At 61.8% G+C, this 18,127-nt stretch overlaps 1 protein-coding gene across 13 annotated transcripts, besides 9 other annotated features; it reads right to left on the bottom strand.

Annotated features, from left to right (window-relative positions):
* Nucleotides 1,383-1,993: an enhancer, noted in NCBI's record as "H3K27ac-H3K4me1 hESC enhancer chr14:103576643-103577253 (GRCh37/hg19 assembly coordinates)". NCBI's record gives its function as "activates a minimal SCP1, AML or CMV promoter by ChIP-STARR-seq in naive H9 embryonic stem cells {active_cell/tissue: H9 hESC(naive)}" and the evidence as "EXISTENCE:reporter gene assay evidence [ECO:0000049][PMID:30033119]".
* EXOC3L4 (exocyst complex component 3 like 4) lies at nucleotides 1,740-18,125 on the bottom strand. Of its 13 annotated transcripts, XM_011537330.3 has the most exons (14): nucleotides 17,459-17,574; nucleotides 16,748-16,936; nucleotides 13,381-13,412; nucleotides 11,686-12,095; nucleotides 9,527-10,181; nucleotides 8,247-8,358; nucleotides 7,910-8,032; nucleotides 7,461-7,561; nucleotides 7,227-7,307; nucleotides 5,400-5,514; nucleotides 4,756-4,875; nucleotides 4,516-4,668; nucleotides 3,782-3,903; nucleotides 1,740-2,268 (listed from the first exon to the last, which is right to left on the bottom strand). In XM_011537330.3, exons 4-14 carry the CDS (start codon nucleotides 12,077-12,079, stop codon nucleotides 2,076-2,078), a joined length of 2,169 nt encoding a protein of 722 aa, XP_011535632.1. In that variant the 5' UTR covers nucleotides 12,080-12,095; nucleotides 13,381-13,412; nucleotides 16,748-16,936; nucleotides 17,459-17,574; the 3' UTR covers nucleotides 1,740-2,075. The 13 variants fall into 13 exon arrangements, with proteins under 13 accessions (XP_011535632.1, XP_011535635.1, NP_001381870.1 ...); XM_011537333.3 differs by lacking the exons at nucleotides 16,748-16,936; nucleotides 17,459-17,574 and adding an exon at nucleotides 17,663-18,125; NM_001394941.1 differs by lacking the exon at nucleotides 16,748-16,936 and having other exon boundaries at nucleotides 13,381-13,681.
* Nucleotides 1,994-2,604: an enhancer, noted in NCBI's record as "H3K27ac-H3K4me1 hESC enhancer chr14:103576032-103576642 (GRCh37/hg19 assembly coordinates)". NCBI's record gives its function as "activates a minimal SCP1, AML or CMV promoter by ChIP-STARR-seq in naive H9 embryonic stem cells {active_cell/tissue: H9 hESC(naive)}" and the evidence as "EXISTENCE:reporter gene assay evidence [ECO:0000049][PMID:30033119]".
* Nucleotides 3,162-3,221: a silencer, noted in NCBI's record as "silent region_6144". NCBI's record gives its function as "represses an Ori minimal core promoter by ATAC-STARR-seq in GM12878 lymphoblastoid cells {active_cell/tissue: GM12878}" and the evidence as "EXISTENCE:reporter gene assay evidence [ECO:0000049][PMID:35858748]".
* Nucleotides 3,392-3,471: an enhancer, noted in NCBI's record as "active region_9095". NCBI's record gives its function as "activates an Ori minimal core promoter by ATAC-STARR-seq in GM12878 lymphoblastoid cells {active_cell/tissue: GM12878}" and the evidence as "EXISTENCE:reporter gene assay evidence [ECO:0000049][PMID:35858748]".
* Nucleotides 6,957-7,116: a silencer, noted in NCBI's record as "silent region_6143". NCBI's record gives its function as "represses an Ori minimal core promoter by ATAC-STARR-seq in GM12878 lymphoblastoid cells {active_cell/tissue: GM12878}" and the evidence as "EXISTENCE:reporter gene assay evidence [ECO:0000049][PMID:35858748]".
* Nucleotides 6,957-7,741: a biological region, named in NCBI's record as "H3K27ac-H3K4me1 hESC enhancer GRCh37_chr14:103570895-103571645".
* Nucleotides 6,991-7,741: an enhancer, noted in NCBI's record as "H3K27ac-H3K4me1 hESC enhancer chr14:103570895-103571645 (GRCh37/hg19 assembly coordinates)". NCBI's record gives its function as "activates a minimal SCP1, AML or CMV promoter by ChIP-STARR-seq in naive H9 embryonic stem cells {active_cell/tissue: H9 hESC(naive)}" and the evidence as "EXISTENCE:reporter gene assay evidence [ECO:0000049][PMID:30033119]".
* Nucleotides 13,783-13,952: a silencer, noted in NCBI's record as "fragment chr14:103564684-103564853 (GRCh37/hg19 assembly coordinates)". NCBI's record gives its function as "represses an EF-1alpha promoter that drives an FKBP-Casp9 reporter gene in an ReSE screen in phorbol 12-myristate 13-acetate-treated (for megakaryocytic differentiation) K562 erythroleukemia cells {active_cell/tissue: K562(+PMA)}" and the evidence as "EXISTENCE:reporter gene assay evidence [ECO:0000049][PMID:32094911]".
* Nucleotides 16,996-17,565: an enhancer, noted in NCBI's record as "H3K4me1 hESC enhancer chr14:103561071-103561640 (GRCh37/hg19 assembly coordinates)". NCBI's record gives its function as "activates a minimal SCP1, AML or CMV promoter by ChIP-STARR-seq in primed H9 embryonic stem cells {active_cell/tissue: H9 hESC(primed)}" and the evidence as "EXISTENCE:reporter gene assay evidence [ECO:0000049][PMID:30033119]".

Genomic DNA, 18,127 nt, shown 5'->3' with positions numbered 1-18,127 from the left:
CTCAGCACCCCACCACCCCAACCCCAGGGTGCCCAAGGCCTTCCCGTAGGTGGGCCTCTGGGAACATGGGGTCACAGGGAGGCCAGGCCCCCGGCCTTATGGCTGGCTCTGACTTCACCCTCCCCAGCCGAGGAGGCACTAACAGCACCCCCATTTCACAGCTGGAAAAAAAATGAAGCAGTGAGATAAAAGAACCTGCCTGCATTCTCACAGGTGGGAAGTGGCAGAGCCAGGACGGAACCCCCTCCTTAACCCCACAGCCCTGCCCCAGGACCCTCTGGCTCCAGCCAAGTGGCTCAGTGAGGAGCTTGAGACAGAAGGGTGGGGAAGGGGGTGGCAGGGGCTCCTTGGGGAGAACCTGACCAGGACCAGACCAGGCCAAGCCCTCCCTTCTCCCCTCCCATGCACCCTGCCTGGGACACTCATGGCCACCAGGTCAGGGGTGGGGTCAAGCAGGGGACAGGCTGACCTGTCAATCACCTGCCCCCTCTTGGACCCCTCCCCTGGGAAAAGACATGCCCCTCTGGCCCCTGGCTGGGAGGATCCTGAGCATCTGCCAGCCTGTTTTCCCATCAGGGACGGGACCGCTTATTGGCACCAGCATCACATACCTGCCCCCACCCCAGCCCTGGAGATGGGGAACCCCAACCCTCCCACTTCCTCATTCCTGCCCCACCTGCCCCACCCTGCCAGGGGAGGTCTGGATATTCCCTTGCCCTGGCCTGCCCTGCTCCTGACCTCCAGCCCTGGTGCCCCCATGGAGGAGGGCACTGCCCCAGCACTTGCTCCCAGAAGAGACAGACAAGCCCCAGGCACTCAACCCCCAGGCTCTAGGCCCCAGCAAGACTCAGGCTCCAGGCCCCAGCCCTGGCATAGGAACCGGGGCAGGTCTGCCCGGGGAACTGCCCCCTGACTGTCCACAGTGCAGGGAGGGGGCCTGGAGGGAGTGGGGATAGACACGCCCCCTGCTTGCCTGGCACCACAGCCTTTCAGACTCCTTACCCTGTCCTCAGGCGACCCAAGTTTGTGGAGCTCTTGGAACCTTGGCCCACCTGCAGTCACCTGCCCCCCACTCCCGCCAGGGTCAGGGTCAGGCCCAGAGACACTATGGGGGCCCACTGTGGAGGGCTGGGAGGGGCACCTGTCACCACCTGTCTCAGCTGCTCTCTGGAAATCTCCCCATCTCAACTTTCAGCCTCCCCAGCCAGCCCGGCTGCCAATGCAAATAGGTTTCCCAGCACCCCAGCCCGCAGCTGCCGCCAAATTTCAGCGGCAGCTTTGCAGAGAGAAGCGGGGACGCAGGTGCACGCTGGAGCAGTCTCCTTACGCTTGCCTCCATTGCTGACACCTCAGGGTCACCCCCGGACACACACTCCATGGGTGACACACCCCCTGCAGTAACTTGACAACTTCCACTGCTGAGAAGTCCCTCCTACATCTAACCCAAATTCTTCAAGCTGCAGAACCAGCCTTATCCTCTTTTTGTTCCCAGGAAGCCCCGAGTCTGCTTTGGCTGGGACAAGGCTGACCAGGCACAAGGCCAGTGGATCCGGGCCGTGGTGGGGGCAGCCACAGGCATGGGCCTTCCCTGCTCTGGACCTGCCTCAGTCTTCCCGTGGCTTCCACAGGCATGAGAGGGCCACCCACCAAATAGTGTCACCAGACAGCCTCCGGCCTGGCCCTTCAGCACACCGGGACCCAGGTCTCCCATCCCCTGCCCACTCCTTAGGGAGGCACCATTTTAATTCACATTTATTTTTTAAATAAATACTCTGCTCTTCACTTTCAGACTGGAGGGTGAAGCTGGACAGTCGGGCGGGAGGCCCCCCCCCGCCCGATAGGCAGCATTGAGAGCTCTGCGGCCCCAAAACACTCCCCTCAACGATGCCTGAAATGCCTCCTGCACGGCTGCTCCTTCTGGCCTGACAGCTGCGCTTGGCTGCTGACGACAAAAATTCCCTAACTGCAGTGTCAGAGTTGGGGGCAGGGCCCAGAGTGACTCCCTGGGCTCCTGGCTGACCCCCACTGACCACAGCTCCCTGCCAGCGGCCGGCCCCCCCTCGAGCCAGAGAGAACTAGACGCAGGTGATCAGCACAGCCATGGCACTGGGCACCTTGATCTCCTCGAAGAGCACGCGGCCCCGAGGGGCCTCCGCACCCGCCGCCCCGGCCGCAGCTCTCAGCAGGTCTTGAGTGTGCTGCAAGAGATGCTGGTTCCGCTGGCGGCCCAGTCGGCGCAGCGCCAGAATGGCCAGTATGTGGTCCCGCCTGCAGAGACATGCGGGCACTCACTGCAGACCTACACCTCCGCAACACCCCCAGCCCCAGCATGAGGCGAACCCACGGGCTTGGGAGTTAGTATGAGTCACTCTGCATTCCAGGATGGTCAGGGAGGTCAGATTGACTGAGGCCAGGAAGAGCTGTGCTGGGGGAGGGGGCAGGGCGTGGGCCTGGGGGACACCATAGCTGGGCTTGAAGGGGCACAGGAGAGGGGTGTGCAGAGTGGGAAAGAGCCCACGCAAAGGCGTGGAGGGAGACCTGGGGACCGGGTGGAGAGACCCAGGCTGGAGAGAGAGGGAGACCCAGGGACAGGGTGGAGAGGGAGGGAGGGAGGGAGACATGGGGGCAGGGTGGAGAGGGAGGGAGGAGGGAGACATGGGGGCAGGGTGGAGAGGGAGGGAGGAGGGAGACATGGGGGCAGGGTGGAGAGGGAGGGAGGAGGGAGACATGGGGGCAGGGTGGAGAGGGAGGGAGGGAGGGAGACATGGGGACAGGGTGGAGAGGGAGGGAGGAGGGAGACATGGGGGCAGGGTGGAGAGGGAGGGAGGAGGGAGACATGGGGGCAGGGTGGAGAGGGAGGGAGGAGGGAGACATGGGGGCAGGGTGGAGAGGGAGGGAGGAGGGAGACATGGGGGCAGGGTGGAGAGGGAGGGAGGAGGGAGACATGGGGGCAGGGTGGAGAGGGAGGGAGGAGGGAGACATGGGGGCAGGGTGGAGAGGGAGGGAGGGAGGGAGACATGGGGACAGGGTGGAGAGGGAGGGAGGGAGGGAGACACGGGGACAGGGTGGAGAGGGAGGGAGGGAGGGAGACATGGGGACAGGGTGGCGAGGGAGAGAGGGAGACCGGGGGACAGGTGGTGGAGAGGGAGGGAGGGGGTGATGCAGCTGCGGGTGACGGGGCCAACGGGGTTGGGGAGTAGTTGGAGGGGAACTCCCAGGGTGATGTAAGGGCCACTCTCTCTGAGCCACAGCCTGGAAGACAGGCCTGCTGGGGATGGGGAATCCTTCCCCACCCCATGGCAGGGTGGCCTGGGGAAGGGGATGAACCAGGGGCTTTCTGTGAGCTCCACATCCCAGAATCTCCAAAAGAATGGACTTGGAGAGATTCGAGCTGGGATTTCCAAAGGCTTGGATGACTCACCGACCCCCCAGCACAACCCGGGATCAAAACCTCCTTCCTCCTGACCAGGTCTCAGAATCCCCTGGCTTTCAGAGAGGGCTTTCTCCCCAGGGGTGGGGGGTCCGCCTCCCCCTCAGATTCCAGGACTGGAGGCGTGCCCACCCCTGGTGGGGCTGATGGAGGATGGCCAAGAGCAGATTAGGAGAAGGGGCTCTCTCCATTCCCCCTCCAGCCTTGAGGGTCTGAGGGTCCAAGGCCTACCTCCTGCCTCTGGTCTTCAGGCCCCTGGGCAGTCAGGTCTGGGCTGGGGTTGCTCCAATACCAGCCCCCTTGGCCCTGAAGCTCTGGTAGGAAGCTAGTGGAAGCAGGTGGGGTACACACCTGATGTCGGGGTAGCTCCGGATAAGAGTCTCCAGGTGCCGCTGGATGTCATCTTTGTAGGTCTCGCCCAGGATCTCAGCCACGCACTGGATGGCTTGGTCCAACCATGTGGCCTCGGAACCCTGCGAGACAGAGCCACCGCCTGCCCCAACAGCCCTCTCCCCACCGCTGCTCCAACTCCTGCAAGAGCGCGAGGTCAGTGCGAGGTCAGCCCTCCCGCAGCGTCAGCCCTCCTGTAGTCACTCTGGCTCGGTGCCGGGACTGCCTCCCCCAAAACAGAACGGGAGCGTGCCTGGGCACCGAGGGCTCATGGGCTGGCTACACAGCCTTCATCTCCCCTCCGATCCCATCCTGCTTGGACAGGAAAACCGAGGCCAGCCTGAAAGCACTGCTAGGGGGCAGACGAGGGGTGTGCAGGGGCGCTGGTGCCTCCACTCTGAGGGCTCTGGCCTGAGGTGGGGGACACCTCCCAAAGGCCCTGACCGTGAGATGGGGCTGTGACCCTCGCCCCTTCCCCGCACCCCTGCAAACTGTATGCAAATGTATGCAAAGTGCCGCCCTCCCACCTGGTTCCCTCCACCCCCCAGCCCCACAGGCGCCCCAGTCCCTGTTCCACCTGATCCAGAGTGGGGAGAACCACTCCTGCCAAAAGCCCTCCCGGCGCTAAGGCCCTAGTCACTGCCACCACTCCCCACACAGAGGCGAGCACCGAAGGGCAGTCATGCCGCCCCTACCAGGCCCTGGAAGGTGTCGCTGATGGCCTGGGCATCCAGGCTCATCTTCTGGGAGCCATGCATGCGCTCCATGCCCCGGAACCGCTCCCGTGGCCTCAGCGCCCGCGCCAGGTACTCGCGGACCACGAACCGGTGCACCTCCTGCAGAGTCTCCTGGGCGGCCCAGGGTCAGGGTCAGGGTCAGGGTCAACAGCCCCAATCCTGGGCACAGCCCTGCCAGGGCCCTCCCCCTTGTGGTACCTGTGCCCGCGGCCGGGCCACACGCTGGAGATGACCGGCGAAGGTCACCACCTTGTCCATGAGGGGATGCAGCCAGTCCTGCGTCAGCCAGTCCCTGGTGCACACAACCCTGAAGAGCGGCTGGGGACAGAGGGGCTGGGAGTCTGCAAATGTGCACTACGCCCGCAACGTAACCCCTCCCTCGAAGCCCAGTGTGCCACTCCTGACCCCTTCCCTCCTGGGTTTGGGGTGCCATTCCCTCTCCTAGCCACAGGTTATGTCACGAGCCCTTTCCCAGAATGCCTCTCCCAGGCCCCAAGCTCTAGGGGCAGGGTTTGAGTCTGTGCAGTCAGATCTGCTCAGGGCATGCCCTGGAGAAGCCTTGAGGGACTGGGTGAGGACCCTGGGCCTGGATCCGTGGACCCACCATCCCAGGCTTCGGGGGTGACCACTAAGAGCTGGAGACTGAAGTGAGAAGGCAGGCGTCTCCCAGCCGCCCCTGCTCAGCTGGGACCTCACCTGGGTCCCCTGCCCACTACCCTACACACACACCCATGAGCTCACCCTGGAATAAATGAATGCTGTGACCTGGGCCCCCAGGCTCTAGGAAATAGGGGGTGCCTGCTGGGCATGGGAAGTAGGGAGAGAGGGCCTATCACAGTCACCTGCAACTCACGCTGCAAGCCCTGAAGCAAGTGCTTCTGGAAGCTGCAGGTGGCCGTCACCAGGGGCTTCTCCAGCTCCTCTTGGGTTCCTGGGAACCTGGAGAGAAGACTGGTCCTGGGGAGGGGCCAGGACCAGCGATGAGGTGGGCAAGGGAGACCAGGCTGGGGAATAGAGCCGGGCACACAGCTCCACTCACTTAGACTACAATGTGAAGGGCAGCCCGTGGGGCTCCCCATTGTAGCTGTCTGCGAGCAGAGTCAAGTGGGGGACAGCACAGAAGCCCAGGGAGCCAGTCACAAAGGGGTGGGTCAGGGGTGGCTGACCCGTTCCCCTCTGGCAGCTCTGGGACAGACCTTCCATCCCTCTTGGTGATAAACAGTGCGGCATAGCCATGCCTGGAACATACCCTACCCTGAGCCTTATAACTGCCCCCTGAAGGTGACCATGTCCCTATTTCACTGTTGAGGAAACTGAGGGCCAGGCTATACGCAGTCCCCGCAGCCAGGGACACAGTAGAGCAGGCTGGAGTTCCATCAAGGGTTTGGCCAGAGGCTGCCTACCAAGGGGCAGAGAACGCTCCCTGGAGCTGAAACCCCAGGGTCCCAGCACCAAGGACAAGCCTGGCACAGATTAAGGACGAGAGTGTTGGAGAAGCAGTGCCTGATGGTCATGCTTTGGATTTAGGCAGGCCTAGTTCAAGTCCCAGCTCCACCACTTCCTGGCTACGTGGCCACGGGCAAGTGGCACCTCCTTTCCAGGCCTGTGCTCTGCACCTGTGCGTGGGTATACTGCGCTTGGGATGAGACGTGTCAGGCAGGGAAGGCACCCACAAAGTGCCTGGCACTGAGAAGTGCTCACAAAGAGCCAATGGGAACTGAGTCCCCTGAGGCACAGAGGTCCCACACCACCCCAGGGAGCAGGTGCTCTGATCCTATTTGACAGGTGGCAAAAGAGCCACAGAGGGGAGGTGGCTTGTCCCGGAGCACACAGCCAGCAGGTGGCACAGCTGTTCTTTGAAGTCAGACAAATGAGAAGTACTTCGGGACACTAAAATTTACACACTTTTAAAAAAGGATAAACCCAGATGGGGAGGCTCAGTCTGTGCCTCTGGCGCTGCCGCATCTGCTGAGGCCTGGCCTGGAGCTGAGGGCACGGAAGGCCAACAGCTACTGCCAGCCCACAGGGAGGGCGTCTGCCTTCTGGGGACACAGAGACCCAGACCTCACCCCAGCAAAGCCCAGGGTGCAGGCTGAGGGAGGCTTCCCAGAGAAGGAGGTGTCCCAAGATGGAAGAAATGCTGCCTGGGATGAAGGGAGGGAAAAATGGAGCCCAGGGCAGCAGGCAGGGAGCTGGAACCCCTCGGCCTCTGCTCAGCCTTGAAGAGCCATCCACACTCCCCCAGGGCCCCTGCTCGGATGGACACACACACACAAGACACACGCATCTAGGCTCTGACACACACACACCACTCAGCTCCACCCCTACACGCACATGCATAAACACCTCTTAGCTCCAACACACACACACACACACACACACAGCCCTCAGCTCTGCCAAACACGCACACACACAGCCTCAGCTCTCCACGCATGCACACACAGGCACACACCCTCAGCTCCATCACACACGCACACACACCCCCCAACTCTGCTACACACACACGCACACACACCCCTCAGATCCACCAACACACAGACACAAACACACACACACACTCCTCACCTCTGCCCCCTCCACGCGCGCGCACTCCCCTCCATCCAGGTTCCCGGCGCTCGCGCGCCCCCTGCTGGCCACGCTGCGCCCGCACAGGAGCGGGCGAGCCCTACCTGAGCTCCTCGCAGGCGTTGATGTAGGCGCCCAGGTGCGGCTCGCTCACCGCCTCCGACGCCAGAAAAGCCTTTTCAAACCTGGGGCGGGATACACAGAGCCTTTGGGGACCCTCCCTAGCTGCGCGATGACCCTGGGTCCACCCTCCCAATCAGGTCCCTACGCAGACTCCTCCCTCCCACCTGCAGAGCGCACCCGGCCAGGTCGCTCCCCTACTGAGGATGCGTCCGCACCTGGGCACGAAGAGGCCGAGCGCCCGCGTGCAGATTCGCAGGGTGGTGGCCTCCAGCTCCGCGGAGATGGCGCCGGCCGCCTTCACGTGCTCGGCCACGAGCTGCGAGCGAAGCCCCGCACTGAGCGTGCCTCCCAGCCCCCGACCTGAGGCCGCGGGTCCCCTGGTAGCCCCCGCTGCGCCTCCAGCCCGCCCCGCTGTGCCTGTCAGTCTTGGCCCCTCCAGCTTTCAGCCGCCCAACTGGAGAGTCAACTCCCGCAAACTCCCATCCAGCAGCCTCCCTGCCCGTCGGCGCGCCGGGGGTCCCCGATTTCCCCCCGCGTGGGGCCTCAGGCTCCCATCTAACGGAAGGGTTGGTTGGGACTGGATAGGAATTCGTTCTGGAAATCGCCACCGTGTGCGTGAGGCTTGAACAGACGCCCCTTCTCAGCCCCTGCTCCCGGGCCGCACCATATGGACGTCCATGGACAGCGGCGCCTGGTAGAGGCCCTGCAGCACCTCGGGGACCTCGGCGGCCGCCCAGTGACTCTGCTCCAGCTGCAAGATGCTGTCGAAGCAGCTTGCGATCTTGGCCTGGGGGGAGAAGGGATGGGCCGTGGTGAGACCCTCCCAGACCCCGTCCCGCGCCGTCCGGGATGAGGGCCGCCCTGTCGGGTCACAAGCCCGCGCCGGGGGCCACAGGGTGAACCAGAGCCAGCTCTGGCCGCCGATAGCCTGGGCGCCGCACATCCCCCCAGGGCCCGCCCCCTCCAGCCTGGCCCGCCCAGCCTGACCCGCCCGGCCTGACCTCCAGGAAGCTGGTGTAGTCGCTCTCCAGTCGGGCCCACACGTCCGGCGCCAGGAGCGGAGGCAGCGGCTCGGCGGGCAGCGCCAGCCCCGGGGCGCCCAGGAAGTCAGGACTGGAAGACAGGGCAGGGGGCTGGGGGCGGGAGCGGCTCTGATGCGGCAGCCGCTGCCCCTCTTCTGGCCAGGCTCAAAGTCTAACGCCAATCCCGAACCTGGGCATCTGTACACACACACACACACACACACACACACACACGCGCGCGCGCCTCTAGGCTGCCATGCCACACCCCCTCCCGGGAAGCCTCTGACAGCTGGGTTCCTGCCTTCCTGCAGAACGCTGAAGGACGGCTACCCAGATGGCACTCCGCCCTCTCCTCAAACACAGCTCAGGAATCGGCCACCCTCCAACCCGCAGCACGGAGGCCCACAGCAGGGCGGACACGGGTCTGACCCCACACAATTTAAGGAGCAATTTAAGGAGTGCGGGACTTCAGGCAACCTCCCCCACCTCCGTGGGCGCTCCTGCCGGTGGGGCTGGGAACCGCTCCGCGGGGAAGGCAATCCATCCTCATCCCAGGCAGAGAGCGGGAGGTGGCCGCTCCCCGCAGGCTGTACCCTGAACCCAGATGCCCGTCTGGCCTAACGGGGTGCCCTTTTCTTTTTTCTTTTCTTTCTTTCTTTCTTTTTTTTTTTTTTTTTGAGACAGAGTCTTGCTCTGTCGCCCATGCTGGAGTGCAATAGCGCGACCTCGGCTCACTGCAACCTCCGCCTCCCGGGTTCAAGCGATTCTCCTACCTCAGCCTCCGGAATAGCTGAGATTACAGGTGCGTGCCACCATGCCCGGCTAATTTTTGTAGAGACGGGGTTTCACCGTGTTGGCCAGGCTGATTTCGAACTCCTGACCTCAGGTGATCGGCCGCCTCAGCCTCCCAAAATGCTGGGATTACAGGCGTGAGCCATGGCGCCTGGCCAAGATGTGCCCTTTTCTGATGCGCCCAAAGGCACCTGGTGGAACCAGCACAGGCCCTGCTCCCATGGGAACCTCCCCGCGGAAACTTTTCAAATTCTGGAACTGTGTATGGGTGACCCCTAGAAAACCTGGGGCGGGAGCGCCCCACGGCCTAACCCGCCGAGGAAAGCATGTCGAAGCCCTCGGCTCTCAGCCCTCTCCCAGGGAGGGAACAGAGAAGAAAGGTCCGGTGCTCCTCAAAGCCGGCTCCCCAAGGCCTGCGGAGGAAGCGGCAGCTGTCCTCGCCACTGGGCGCCCTGGCCGAGACTCACCTGCCGTAGACGTTGGCGGCCCAGTCCAGCAGGATATAGAGCTGCTCGCAGCCGCGGGCGTCGCGCGCGAGCTCCTGGAGGCGCTGGGCCACGGCGCTGTGGAAGGCACGCAGATAGACCTCCCACGCTGGGAAGCCGGCCGCCGCATACGCGGGCTGCACCTCCTGCCGCACCTTCTGCAGGTCGCGGCGAACCAAGCCACCCAGCTCGGCCAGAAGCTGGGCCAAACCCGACGCGCCCTCCGCCTCCCCGAAGGCCCACCCCGCGCCCGGCCGCCGCACGCGCTCCTGAGCGCTTCGCCGCACCGCCTCCTCCCAGTGCTGGCGCCAGCGGCGCGGCGTGCGCAGGAAGTCGCCGTCGTCGGGGGGAGAAGGGTGGGCTTCCTCCTCCGCGCTCACCACGCGGGCCAGCTCGGCCAGCGCGGCCGCGTCCACACCGTCGCTGTCCAGCGTCTCGCGCACGATGGCGCCGATCTCGGCTGCCAGCCCGTCGTAAAGCAGGCACACGTCCATAGCGCGCCGCGCGAAGGCCGTAGGGTCCTGCTCAAAGGTGCGCGAGGCCTTCTCGGCCACCAGCAGCGTCTCCAGGCGCAGAAGCTGTTCGAAGGCCGCCAGCAGTTGCCGTTCAGTAATGAGGTCGGCCACGGATTTGCCTTCTGCACAGGCGGGCGAGAAGGGCGGTGAGAGGGACCGCCCCAAGACCCGAACCTGGACGAAGACCTGCAGGCCACGGCTCAATCCATCGGGGCTGGATTGTCTGTCCTCTGCCAGATGCCCCAGCACAGCTGAAGGCCTGCTCCAGGAACAACAGGCCCCAGCTGCCAGGAGCCCTCCCTTAGAGTCACCTTTGAAGAGGCAGAACCTGGGGCCCCAAGCCTGGCTGAACAGAGCAATTTGGGTCAACCCCTACCTTCCGCCTGGATCCCACACCCACCTTCCACTCCCGGCTGAGCCGGACCTGATAGCCTCATGCTCAGCCCTGATTGCAGGTCTAATAGGGTCGGAGCTCAGGCAGGGCGTGTCCTGCCCGTGTCCAGCTTTACATTCCTGCTGCTCCCCACTCTCCGCCAGCCTCCACCCGACAAGAGCTCTCCACCTCCATGTCCCCCTCTTCCCACCCCAGTGTATCCTCCTCTGGGCAATCCCCCTGACCTCCCCTCCTGGTACCTCTGCGAGCCTTGCACCCTCTGCAACCCTGTGATCAGCTGTGTGCATGGCCCTAGTTTGACCAGGAGCCAGGCTGTGAAAGGCCATGGAGAGGTGGGGATCTAGGGCCATGCATATCTGGGTTCAGGTCCCATTCTCCACGCTGTGAGACTTGAGGCAAGTCACTCCACCTCTCTGAGCCTCACTTTTCTTATCTGCCCAATGGGGGGGCTCCCATTGCAGAGATGCTGCAAGAATTTAAAGTGCAATTGTCCAGCTGGGCATGGTGGCTCACGCCTGTAATCCCAGCACTTCAGGAAGCCAAGGCAGGAGGATTGGGTGAGCTCAGGAGTTTGAGACCAGCCTGGGCAACATAGCAAGACCATATCTCTACAAAAAAATAAAAACAAATTTAAAAAATTAGGCCAGGCACAGTGGTTCACGCCTGTAATCCCAGCACTTTGGGAGGCTGAGGGGGCGGATCGCGAGGTCAGGAGCTCAAGACCAGGCTGGCCAATATGGTGAAACCCCGTCTTACTAAAAATGCAAAAAAAAAAATTAACCAGGTGTGTTGGCACGCACCTGTAGTCCTAGTGACTTGGGGGCCTGAGGCAGAAGAATCACTTGAACCTGGGAGGTGGAGGTTGCAGTGAGCCAAGATTGCGTCACTGCACTCCAGCCTGGGTGATAGAGTGAGAGTCAGTGTCAAAAAAAAAAAAAAAAAATTAGCCGGGTGCAGTGGCTTACACCTGTAGTCCCAGCTACTCAGAAAGTTGAGGTGGGAGGATCGCTTGAGCCCAGGAGGCCAAGGTCGCAGTGAGCTGTGATTGCACCACTGCATGCCAGCCTGGGTGACAGAGTGGAGACCCTGTCTCAAATAAATAAAGAATTGCACATGTTCGGGGGCAGGGTTTGGGGAGCTAGGGAGGACAGCCTTTCCGGAAACCTCAGCTGAGCTGCCCTGACCTCTGGCCCGTTTCCTTTCATGCTTCGTGTTGTTTCTGAGGCCCTTACCTGCCTCGGGTTTCAGTTCCTCAGACGCTGCCCCAGTGGATGCCTGCTGGCTGACACCATTCATGACCCCCGAGGGCACCTCAGGAGTGGCCTGGGAATGGCCGGTAGCTGGGCCGTCATTCAGGGCTTGCCGGAAGGACCGGAACAGGGAGCAGGAGCTTCGCCGGAACAGGCCCGTATCTTCCTTGGAGACCTGGGTCAAAGCCCGCTGGCTGGCCCGGGAGAAGGCCTGCCTCAGGGAGCCCAGGCCCAGCCTTGTGCCATCCTTGCGGTGGGCATTGGGCTCTTTCCTGCTGCTTGTTCGCCGGGAGCCCTGAGCTGGAGTCTGTGGCTCCTCAGCCTCCTTGGGACTCTGCAGCTCCGGCCCAGGAGTGTCTGTCTGTGGTGATGGCATCTTGGCAGCAGGAGAGCTGGGGGCAAGAAGGAGTGGCCATAGGAGCAGATGCAGAAACCTGTTGTGGCCCTGTGGGGCCTGGCCACACCCAGGGGCTTGGTCAAGGAAGGCTCTCCAGAGGAGGCAGCCCTCAGGCTGTCAAAAGGAAGCATCACCAGGCCACTCTCTTGGCGAGAGCCCTCAGTGTGCCAGGCCGCAGCTGGGCACGGAGATATAGACAGCTGCTTCCATCAGGAGCCTTTCCTGAGACCATCCCCCAAAAAGGGTCTCCGCAGGTGCCCACCGTCACTCGGCCTCTGCCAGGCCAGACCCTCCCATTAGAATTGGAGGAGGGCACTGACATGCAGTTCTGGGGCCCAGTCCAGACCACAGCTCACAACACCCGAGGGCAGGACCAGCAGCCACATCTAGGCCTTCCCAGATGTTAGGTCCTGAGGCCTAAAACCCTCCCCCCAGCCCCCACCAGCTCCTTCACTGCCCTCCAGGTCCCTCAGCTCACCCGCCTTCAGCCCAAAAGGCCTGACTACTTTGGCTCAACGGGGAGGGCAGGGACCCCCATGGGAGCCCACCCCCTTCCCTGGGTGTCACAGAGCCCGCCGAGGAGGTGTGGGGCCTGAGGGCAGTGGCCAAGGCCACCCTGCGGCTTATCATGGCCATGCAGCCACAGGGGCGGCAGAAGGAGGAGCCTCGGGTCTATATTTAACCAGGGACTGGGGGGGTTCTCAATGCTGTTTCCCACCCATTGCCTCTCCTCCTCCCCCCACTCCTCTCCCTCTCCACCATAGCATGCTCTGGCCCCTCCCCAACACAGGGAATGGAGGGGGTGTCCCAGGGACATGGGGGTGGCTGAGCTGCGGCTGCTCCTGCTCCCCCAGGGCCCTCGGCACCGTGGCCTGCCAGGCTCCACCCACACCCCCTTCCAGCGTTAGGAGCTGTGTTTGCTTTCCTGGCTTTAGGTTGGGAGAGGGGAGGGGCCTCCCACCCACCCCATTGCACAAGCTGGGCCATGGGTGGGGGAGGGCATTAGGCCAGCAAAACCTCACTTTCCTCTGGGAGAAACTGGGGCCAAAGAAGGGCTGGACCTGCCCCTAGCCCAGCCCCAGGGCCCCCCACCCAGGTGCCAGGACCAAAGCACCCGCCTGACCCACCACCCAACCCTTGGGTGACATCGGGCAGGAAGTGTGCCTCCCCAGGCCCCAGTTTGCTGCGGTGGAATGACACCAAAGTGGGCAGGGCCCAGACCCCCACCCACCCTCGCCCTCCAGCAAGGTGCCTGCTGGGCCCAGCTGCAGCCTACCTACCTTCCTTGAGGTTCCCAGAGGCGGCTAAGCAGCTGGATGGAGGCCCGAGGAAGGAGAGACAGTCAAGTGATTGATGGAGCTTTATCAGCCCCGCCCTGGCCACAGGTCGGCGACTTCCCCCAGCGCCAGGGTTCAGGGACCCTGCCTGATTCGGACTTGACCCACACTTCAGGGCACCATCTGTCCCAGCCTCCACTCGCTTCTCTCTCCCCGGTGCCCCTTCATGCTTGGCATGGGGGCCGGCGCCCAGCAGGGCAGGGGTGTTGTGAAGAGAACGGTTCAGCACATGCTGCATCCACCGCTGTCAAGAGGACGGAGGCGGGGATGTGGGGAAGGACAAGCCAGGCCCCGCCTTCTTGTTTGGGAGAACTCACACTTAGTAAGCACCTACTGTGTGCCCAGCTCGATGCCTGACACAGATCAGCTACTGTGACATCAAAGTTAGGGGTTGTCATTTGCCCATTTCACAGATGAGGAACCTGAGGCTCACAGAGGGACAGAGTCTGCCCCTGGCCGCGCACTCAGGCTGGGGAGCCTGCTTGGAGCTGGGAGCAGAGGCGGGACCTGCCACGTCTCCACCCCCAGGGACTCAGAACTGCCGCCCAGAAGCTCCCCTCCCGGCGGAGAGACCCAAGGTGTCAGCAGGTCCCAGAGTGGGGTCAGATGTGGAGGTTCTCTCCCAGGAAGCCCAGACGAGCGCCGGGTAAGGAGGGGCAGCTGTGCGGTGAATCTCTTAGGAGGTTACATAGGCAGAGGCTTGGGGGTCACTCAGCCTGCTTTTGTCCCAAACCAGAACTTCGCTGAAGGGCCAGTGAGGTCCCCAGATGGCCCCTCAGCCTCCAGCCATGCCACCTTCGACCCTGCAGCTCCCAACAGCTTCCCAAGCTATTCTCGACCTTCCCAAAGCAAAAGTCCAGCCAGGTCACTCCCCTGCTTTAAGCCCTTCCATGGTTCCCTCCTGCCCGAGCCCCACAGCCGGGCATCCATCCTGGAACCTCCTTCCTCCACCCCCCACCTCCCGCTGATGACACCTCACCAGCTTCCCCTGGGGTTCACGGACAACCTGCACCCCACCCAGCTTCTTCTCTGTCCTCCCGGCTGCACGCCCAGCCTCCAGCTTCCCCTCCGGCCATTCCCTTTCCTGGCCCCTGTTTGTTCTCCAAACCTGACTTGGGTTTCAGGACCTCGGGGTTCAGATGCCTTGCACCACCGGCCGTCACCATCTATCTGCTCAGTGGGTACTCGGCACTGTCCCTGTGATGATGTGGCCCTCCTGCACTGGGCTGGCAGCCTCTGTCCATCTACCCCGGTCACCCCTGAGCACAGCCTGGAAGCAGGCGGAACATCGGTATCAGGGTCGCCCTGCCACCCCCGGCTGGCCTGCCTGCTGCCATGCTGGCGCCTGCGGGGCTGAGACCTGAAGGCCCCTCTCAACTCCCCCCTCCACCTCCCAAGGCTCTCGCCTGGCCTGTCCCTGTGCCTGCCTCCCCACACCCCCATGGACTCTCTCTGGCTCTCTTTTCTCTCTGCGTCTCTCTGTCCCCAGTGCCCGGAGAGTCCAGGGGGCCCCGGCTCCTATGCTGCCGCTCCCTGATTGCAAGGCCCCAGAGACTGACGCCCGGCCTGAGCCCCGGGTCCCACTCTCCCCAGGTCAGGCTAATACACCCTTTGTGGGGCCAGCAGCAGGGGCAAGAAACCACCCAGAGACACAGTCACTGAGAGCTCCCACCCTGGGCCACCCTAGCTGTGTCCGAGAAGTCAAGTCCGAACTTCCCCACCCTCCCTACCCCCAGCCTCAGCTTCTACTCCCCGCTTTCCCCTAGACCTTCCCTCCCGTAGCTGCTCCTCATCCTCCCAATCACTCTGCAGTGCTCACCCACTCCCCAGCCTCCCCAACTACGCTGGGACTGGACCATCGCTCCACTCCTCAACGCTCCAAAGGAGCCTCTTGCAGGTGACTGCCTGTACTGTGCCCTGGGCCGAAGCCCTGTGCGGGGCTTGTCCCCTCTCACTTCCCCACCTGCCATCCACCTTCACCTGATCACAGCCTCCGAGCTGCTCTCCTTCCCAGGCCCCCTCAATGCTGCCTCCTCGGATCAGTCATAAGAATCTTGCCTAGCACTTAGACGGTCGTTGGCCAACCTCCCCAACAGCACTTGGGTTTTCCTGTTGAGAGGGGGGACTGAGACAGAACTAGCTGGATTTCCTAGTCCGACTAAGAATGCCTAAGCCTAGCTGGGAAGGTGACTGCATCCATCTTTAAACATGGGGCTTGCAACTTAGCTCACACCCGACCAATCAGGTATTAAAGAGAGCTCACAGAAATGCTAATTAGGCAAAAACAGGAGGTAAACAAATAGCCAATCATCTATCGCCTGAGAGCACAGTGGGAGGGACAATGATCGGGATATAAACCCAGGCATTTGAGCTGGCAACAGCTACCCTCTTTGGGTCCCCTCCTTTTGTATAGGAGCTCTGTTTTCACTCTACTAAATCTTACAATTGCAAAAAAAAAAAGAATCTTGCCAAAACGTCAACCTCCTTTGTTTATTGTTTTTAGAGACGAGGTCTCGCTGTGTCACTTCACCCACTGCTGGAGTGCAGGGATGCGATCATAGCTCACCACAGCCTCAAACTCCTGGACTCAAGCAGTCCTCCCACCTAAGCGTCCCAAGTAGCTGGGACTACAGGTGCGCAACACCATGCCTGGCTAATTTTTATATTTTTTGTAGAGACAGGGGTCTCATTATGTGTGCCCAGGCTGGTCTCAAACTTCTGGCCTCAAATAATCCTCCTGCCTCAGCCTCCCAAAGTGCTGGGATTACAGGAGTGAGCCACCATGCCCGGCCCTATAAACCTCCTTTGAAAGCTTTCCTTGCAAGCTTTCCTTTTCCTTCCAGCCCCTGCAAATAAGGAAAATGACAAGGATGTTTGTTCTCACCATTCTTACTCCTCAACATTTGGCTGGAAGAACTAGTTAAGGCAATAAGGAAAGAAAAATAAATAAGAGATGTAAACACTGGGAAGGAGCAGATTAAACTGTCATTATTCATAGGTGATATGATTGTTGGCTTAGAAAATCTGAGGCTGAAAATTATTGGAGCTAATAAAAGGGTTTAGTAAATTTTGTGCATTGATTATGTAAATACAAGCAACACCTTTCCTATACCCTAGCAAAGCCTATTAGAAAGAGACACTTAAAAGACTTCCCTTCACAGTAGCAACAAAGCATAAGCCCCCTGAGCCGCTGCTGCCCTCGGAAGAAGCACAGCTCCATCCTTAGCTTGGCATTCAAGGCCTCTCCTAATGACCCCTCTGGCTTCAGTCCCAACTCATTCCCTCACTCTGATCACTCAGAAGTACCCACCTCTCCTCCACACCTTTGCACAGGCCATCCTCTCTGCCTACAATGACCTCAGCCCCTCCTTCTTCAGTTGTCAACTCATTGAAGGCTCAGCAGAAATGGCTCCTCCCCCAAGAAGCCTTCCCGGACCAGCTGAGCCCATACCATGTTCGGCACCTCCTGCTGTGGGCCTGATCCCAGCCCTGGGCACACCTGCCATGACGGAGGGACAGTTACAGAGCCTGGAGACCAGGAGACCCGCAAGGCAGGGAGTGAGCCTGACTCAGCCCCCAGCCATGGCTAGTACTCGGCACTTTCCCGGGGAAACCAGGAAAGTGAATCTGATGCCTGAGCTTGAGCGCGCGGGCATATACACACTTTTCTGGGCGTCGGTTTTGCACATCTGTGTGTTGGCCTGAGAGTGTCTCCCTGTATGTGCATGACTCTGCCCTGGAGTGTCCCCAGAGGGTCTGCCAGTGCTTCTGAGTCTGTGTCTGTGCCTGCATGCCCATCTTGGTGTCTTCTGTGTCTGTCTATCTGTGCTTTCTACCTGAGTGTGTCTGCCTGTGTATCGGGTGTGTGTGTGTCCACTGTGATTTGCGCTGGCCCTCTGGCCTGGTCGGCCTGGGCTCTGAGTGAGGCCCTTGGCCTGGAAGGCCACACGCAGAGCCGGAATGGTCCTCAAGCCCGCCCACAGCACCCCATGCCCTCCTGCTCCACCTGCCCAGAACATACCTGCTGAGCACGCAGCCTTGGCCCAGGAAGAACACAGCCCCCTGAGAAGCTGGCCCGTGGGGCCCTCAGAGCCGGGCCCTGGCTATGGGGCCTCTAGAGCAGCCTGAGCGAGTGACCAACAGCTGGGACTTCCCAGCCATGGTCAGCGCCTGCCAGGCCCACCCGGCCCCACCCACAGCCCTACCCTCCACCAGGACCCCATACTTTCACTTTCAGAGAAGTTCCCACTTCCTTTTCGTTCCGGAGGCAGTCACTCCAGCTTTCCATTCCAGACAGCTCAGGGCTCAGTCCAAGGGTCAGAGAACAAGGGAGGGGAAGGCTGCGGAGCTCGGCACTCAGGGTCTCGAGGCAGCAGGGGGTGGACGCTGCCTGCCACCCAAAACACCACCAACCTCTCCTTTGCTCAGAGGCCAGCGGAAGCAGGCGCTGGCCTCGGGGGACACTCAGCCCACAGTGCCGGAGCCCAGAAGGACCCCTCCCTCCAGGACAGAGGCTCTAGCACTGGGCCAGTCCATCGAGTTCATCCCGAGACCCCTGCACCCTGCCTGTCAGGGAAGCTCACGGTGACAGCAAAGGCAGCAGTTGAGAGCCACATGCCATTCCTGGGGGCTTCAGGAGCTAGAGAAAGGGATGGGGCCCTAGGGACAGACAGGACACACTCAGAAGTGA

This window comes from Homo sapiens, chromosome 14 (assembly GCF_000001405.40).
Source record: "Homo sapiens chromosome 14, GRCh38.p14 Primary Assembly".
NCBI classification, from domain to species: Eukaryota; Metazoa; Chordata; class Mammalia; order Primates; family Hominidae; genus Homo; species Homo sapiens.
The sequence above is the reverse complement of the archived record's forward strand: the minus strand, read 5'-3'. Positions and strand labels throughout refer to the sequence as shown.

Coding starts and splice junctions, on each gene's coding strand:
- EXOC3L4 (XM_011537333.3), bottom strand. CDS start 17,725: ATGGAAAGCTGGAGTGACTGCCTCCGGAACGAAAAGGAAGTGGGAACT. Junction 8,359..9,526: donor GCCGCCAACGTCTACGGCAG/GTGAGTCTCGGC, acceptor CCTGTCTTCCAG/TCCTGACTTCCTGGGCGCCC. Junction 7,308..7,460: donor CTCGGCCTCTTCGTGCCCAG/GTGCGGACGCAT, acceptor ATCCCGCCCCAG/GTTTGAAAAGGCTTTTCTGG.